At 45.0% G+C, this 6000-nt stretch overlaps 1 annotated feature.

Annotated features, from left to right (window-relative positions):
• Positions 388 to 577: a silencer, noted in NCBI's record as "silent region_12646". NCBI's record gives its function as "represses an Ori minimal core promoter by ATAC-STARR-seq in GM12878 lymphoblastoid cells {active_cell/tissue: GM12878}" and the evidence as "EXISTENCE:reporter gene assay evidence [ECO:0000049][PMID:35858748]".

The raw sequence follows: 6000 nt of genomic DNA, 5'->3' as shown, positions 1-6000 counted from the left end.
GCGCCCACCCTGAAAGCGCCACCTCGGAGTCACCGCCAGGGCCAGGAGGCGCCGCGGAAAAGCCAGACGTCGTTTTTGGCCCCTTTGGAATGTTTGGAGCACGTCTGGGTGTGAGAGCTAGAGTTTGCGTGCGTGAGGGGCGCTCTGCATCTTTCTTTCTAGCAGAACCCCCGACAGGTGTCCCCATAAGTCATCAAGGCAGACCATCAGAGACCATCTCCGCCAGGACCAGAGCGACGCCCTCGGGGCACTTTCTGTCTCTGTGACTGTAGGAGGGTTCCACCTCCTATATCAGCTGAATGTTACAGCAGGTTTGCCTGTCCCGAGGACGTCCCTGGGAAGGATTTGGGGCTAGGAAAGACCTGGGTGGGCTGGAGGGCTCCCGAGGACCAGCTCTGCGGAAGGCGTTCGTGCGGTTCTTCCGGCTGCCAGGCGTCTGGGAGGGTGGCCTTGCCCGGCGGGGTGGGTGGTGTCCGCGCGCCCCCTCGTGGCCCGGACGCGGTGCAACGCCCGCTCCCCCGCTCTTCCTAGCAGTGGCGCCAAAGTGAGGAGGAAAAAGACTATAACTTCTATCTTGATATAATTAACATTTTTAAATCTCAAAAATAGTGACATTTGGTCTTGGTGTCTTTACTTGGTTTGTGTGTCAGCCCCGCATCACGAGACACCTTCCCTGGGCTCAGTAGTTTGGGACCTAAAGCTTTTGACACACCTGGTGTGTTTTGATGCCTTCTGAACCAGACTTCCAGGTTCAAATCCTGTCTCCCCTGCAGTGAGACCTTGGATACTGTCTGCCTGCCTCCATTTCTTCATCTGCTTAATGGACGTAATATTAGTATCCATCTCATGGGACTGCTTCAGGGATTAAACATCTTTAAAATATTTAAGTGCAGATTAGAAGGGATCATGGCGGACTGGAGGCAGGACTAGATTGCAGCTCTGGACAGAGCAGCATGTGGGGGCTTACACTGTGAATTTTAGCTCCAGATCCACTACAAGAACAAACCAGCACTCCCAAGAGGACGCACAGATCCTCTGAAGGAAGCAGAGCGCTCCTGCAGGGCCGGGGAGACACCCCAAATACTGTCAGTGCCCCAACTGAGGAAGTGAACACACACCCCCAGTGGAGAAGCTGAAGTTCTGTTTGTGGGGGAAGTTTCTGACTTTACCTGGAGCTGAGTCAAGTTAGAGAGCCGACCGAAAGACAGGGGTACAGGAAGTAGCAGAAAGGCCCTGGGAGCTCGCTGGGTCCCCAAGCATCCCATTCCTGCCTGGCATAACAGGGATCCATCAGAAGGGTGGCTAGAGGAGCAGGGGATAAAACTCCACAGGGAGAAGGAATTCCCCAGCTGAATTTTGTAACAATTTGAATGGGGCAAGAAACCTCCTGGCCAGAACTTTGGGGAGGGTGCGAATCCAGCGGGCAGACTTCACAAGCAGGGGAAGAACTGAAGCCCTTTTCTCTCCCAGCTGGGAGGCGGATAGCCTCGGGCAAGTTTTCAAGCCTGTCACCTGCAGCCTGAAAACAGACTGGGCTGTTGGTGGGGGCACAGTGGGAGTGAGACGGGCCCTTTAGTTTGCGTGGGAGCTGGGTGAGGCCTGTGACTGCTGGCTTTCCCCCACTTCCCTGACAACCTGCAGGATTCAGCAGAGGCAGCCATAATCCTCCTAGGTACACAACTCCAGTGACCTGGGAATCTCACCTCCATCCCCCACAGCAGCCACAGCAAGACCCGCCCTAGGAGAGTCTGAGCTCAGACACGCCTAGCCCCACCCCCACCAGATGGTCCTTCCCTATCTACCCTGGGTGGAAGACAAAGGGCATATAATCTTGGGAGTTCTAGGGACTCACCCAACACCGGTACCTCTCCACGCTACTACAGCTGATGCTTTCTGGAAAGCGCCACCTCCTGGCAGGAGGCCAACCAGCACAAACATAGAGCATTAAGCCACCAAAGCTAAGGACCCTCACGACTTCCAGTGCACCCTCCGCCACCTCCACCGGAACAGGTGCTGGTATCCACGGCTGAGAGACCCATAGACAGTTCACATCACAGGACTCTGTGCAGACAACCCCCAGTGCCAGCCCAGAGCTGGGTAGACTCGCTGGGTGGCTAGGCCCAGAAAAGAGACAAAAATCACTGCAGTTCGGCTCACAGGAAGCCACATCCATAGGAAAAGGGATAGAGAACTACATTAAAGAAACAGCCAGTGGGATGAAAGAATCGGAACAACAGTCTTCAGCCCTAGACCTTCCCTATGACAGAGCCTACCCAAACGAGACGGAACCAGAAAACCAACTCTGGTAATGTGACAAAACAAGTCTCTTTAACACCTCCCGAAAATCACACTAGTTCACCAGCAATAGATCCAAACCAAGAAGAAACCCCTGATTTACCTGCAAAATAATTCAGGAGGTTAGTTATCAAGCTAATCAGGGAGGGACCAGAGAAAGGCGAGACCCAATGCAAGGAAATCCAAAAAATGATACAAGAAGTGAAGGGAGACATATTCATGGAAATAGATAGCTAAAAGAAAAAAACAATAAAAATTTAGCAAACTTTGGACACACTTTTAGAAATGTGAAATGCTCTGTAAATTCTCAACAATAGAATTGAACAAATAGAAGAAAGAAATTCAGAGCTCAAGGACAAGTCTTTGAATTAATCCAATCTAACAAAGACAAAGAAAAAAGAACAAGAAAATATGAACAAAGCCTCCAAGAAGTCTGGGATTATGTTAAACAATCAAACCTAAGAATAATCGGTGTACCTAAGAAGAGAATTCTAAAAGCCTGGAAAACATATTTGGGGGAATAATCGAGGAACAATTCCCCAGCCTTGTGAGGGACCTAGATATCCCAATACAAGAAGCGCAAAGAACACCTGGGAAATTCATCGCAAAAAGATCTTTGCCTAGGCACATTGTCATCAGGTTATCCAAAGTCAAGAGGAAGGAAAGAATCTTAAGAGCTGTGAGACAGAAGCACCAGGTAACTTATAAAGGAAAACCTATCAGATTAACAGCAGATTTCTCAGCAGAAACCCTACAAGCTAGTAGGGATTGGGGCCCTATCTTCAGCCTCCTCAAACAAAACAATTATCAGCCAAGAATTTTGTATCCAGCGAAACTAAGCATCATATATGAAGGAAAGATACAGTTGTTTTCAGACAAACAAATGCTGAGAGAATTCGCCATTACCAAACCACCACTACAAGAACTGCTAAAAGGAGCTCTAAATCTTGAAAAAAATTCTGGAAACACATCAAAACAGAACCTGTTTAAAGCATAAATCACATAGGACCTATAAAACAAAAATACAAGTTAAAAAGCAAAAACAAAAACCAAAGTACACAGGCAACAAAGAGCACAATGAAAGCAATGGTCCCTCACATTTCAATACTAACATTTAATGTAAACGGCCTAAATGCTCCACTTAAAAGATACAGAACCGCAGAATGGATAAGAGCTCACCAACCGGCTGGGCGCGGTGGCCCACGCCTGTAATCACAGCACTTTGGGAGGCCGAGGAGGGTGGATCACCTGAGGTTAGGAGTTCAAGACCAGTCTGACCAATATGATGTAACCCTATTTCTACTAAAAATACAAAAAAAAAAAAAAATTAGCCAGGCATGGTGGCATGCACCTGTAGTCCCAGCTTCTTGGGAGGCTGAGACACAAGAACTGCTTGAACCCAGGAGGTGGAGGTTGCAGTGAGCCGAGATTGCACCACTGCACTCCAGCCTGGGCAACAGAGTGTGACTCTGTCTCAAAAAAAAAAAAAAAAAAAAAAAAGAAATCACCAACCATCTGCTGCTTTCAGGAGACTTACCTAACACGTAAGGACTTACATAAACTTAAAGTAAAGGGGTGGAAAAAGACATTTCCTGCAAATGGACACCAAAAGCAAGCAGGGGTAGCTATTCTTATGTCAGACAAAACAAACTTTAAAGAAACAGTGATTAAAAGAGACAAAGAGGAACAGTATATAATAGTAAAAGGCCTTGTTCAACAGGAAAATATCACAGTCCTAAACATATATGCACCTAACACTGGAGGTCCCAAATTTATAAAACAATTACTAATAGACCTAAGAAATGAGATAGACAGCAACACAATAGCAGTGAGGGACTTCAATACTCCACTGACAGCACTAGACAGGTCAAGACAGAAAGTCAACAAATAAACAATGGATTTAAACTATACCTTGGAACAAATGGACTTAACAGATATATACAGAACATTTCATCCAACAATCACAGAATACACATTCTATTCAACAGTGCATGGAACTTTCTCCAAGATAGACCATATGATAGGCCATAAAATGAGCCTCAATACATTTAAGAAAATTGAAATTATATCAAGCACTCTGTCAGACCACAGTGGAATAAAACTGGAAATCAACTCCAAAAGGAACCTTCAAAACCATGCAAATACATGGAAATTAAATAACCTGCTCCTGAGTGAGCATTGGATCAAAAGCAAAATCAAGATGGAAATTTAAAAATTCATCAAACTGAATGACTAACGACACAACCTATCAAAACCTCTGGGATACAGCAAAGATGGTACTAAGAGGAACATTCATAGTCCTAAATGCCTAAATCAAAAAGTCTGAAAGAGCACAGATAATCTAAGGTCACACCTCAAGGAACTAGAGAGACAAGAACAAACCAAACCCACACCCAGCAGAAGAAAGAAAATAACCAAGATCAGAGCAGAACTAAATGAAATTGAAACAAACAAACAAAAAATACAAAAGATAAATGAAACAAAAAGCTGGTTCTTTGAAAAGATAAATAAAACTGATAGACCATTAACAAGATTAACCAAGAAAAGAAGAGAGAAAATCCAAACAAGTTCACTAAGAAACAAAACAGGAGATGTTACAACTGACACCACTGAAATACAAAAGAACATTCAAGCCTACTATGAACACCTTTATGCACATAAACTAGAAAACCTAGAAAAGATGGATAAATTCCTGGAAGAATACAACCCTCCTAGCTTAAATCAGGAAGAGTTAGATACCCTGAATAGACGAATAACACGCAGTGAGATTGAAATGTTAATTTAAAAATTACCGACAACAGAAAAGTCCAGGACCAGACAGATTTATGGCAGAATTCTACCAGACATTCAAAGGATTCCACAAGATAGAGAAAGAAGGAACCCTCCCTAATTCATTCTATGAGGCCAGCATCACCCAATACCAAAACCAGGAAAGGACATAACCAAAAAAGAAAACTACAGACCGATATCCTTGATGAACATAGATGCTAAAATCCTTAACAAAGTACTAGCTAGTCGAATCCAACAACATATCAAAAAGATAATCCACCCTAATCAAGTGGGTTTCATACCAGGGATGCAGAAATGGTTTAACATATGCAAGTCAATACATGTGATAACCACATAAACAGAATTAAGAACAAAAATCACATGATCATCTCGATAGATGCAGACAAAGCATTCTACAAAATCCAGCATCCCTTTATGATTAAAACTCTCAGGAAAATTGGCATACAAGGGACATACCTTAATGTAATAAAGCCATCTATGACAAACCCACAACCAACATAATACTGAATGGGGAGAAGTTGAAAGCATTCCCTTTGAGAACTGGAACAAGACAAGGATGCCCACTCTCGCCACTCCTCTTCAAGAGTACTGGAAATCCTAGCCAGAGCAATCGGACAAGAGAAAGAAACAAAGGGCATCCAGGCCGGGCGTGGTGTCTCACGCCTGTAATCCCAACACTTTGGGAGGCTGAGGTGGGCAATTCACCTGAGGTCAGAAGTTTGAGACCAGCCTGGCCAACATAGCGAAACCCCATCTCTACTAAAAATAGAAAAATTAGCTGGGCATGGTGGCAGGCCCCTGTAATCGCAGCTACTTGGGGGCCTGAGGCAGGAGAATCACTTGAACCCAGGAGGTGGAGGTTGCAGTGAGCCAAGATTATGTCACTGCACTCCAGCCTGGGCAACAAGAGTGAAA

This window comes from Homo sapiens, chromosome 20 (genome assembly GCF_000001405.40).
Source record: "Homo sapiens chromosome 20, GRCh38.p14 Primary Assembly".
NCBI lineage: Eukaryota > Metazoa > Chordata > Mammalia > Primates > Hominidae > Homo > Homo sapiens.
This window is presented reverse-complemented; position numbering and strand designations above follow the sequence as displayed.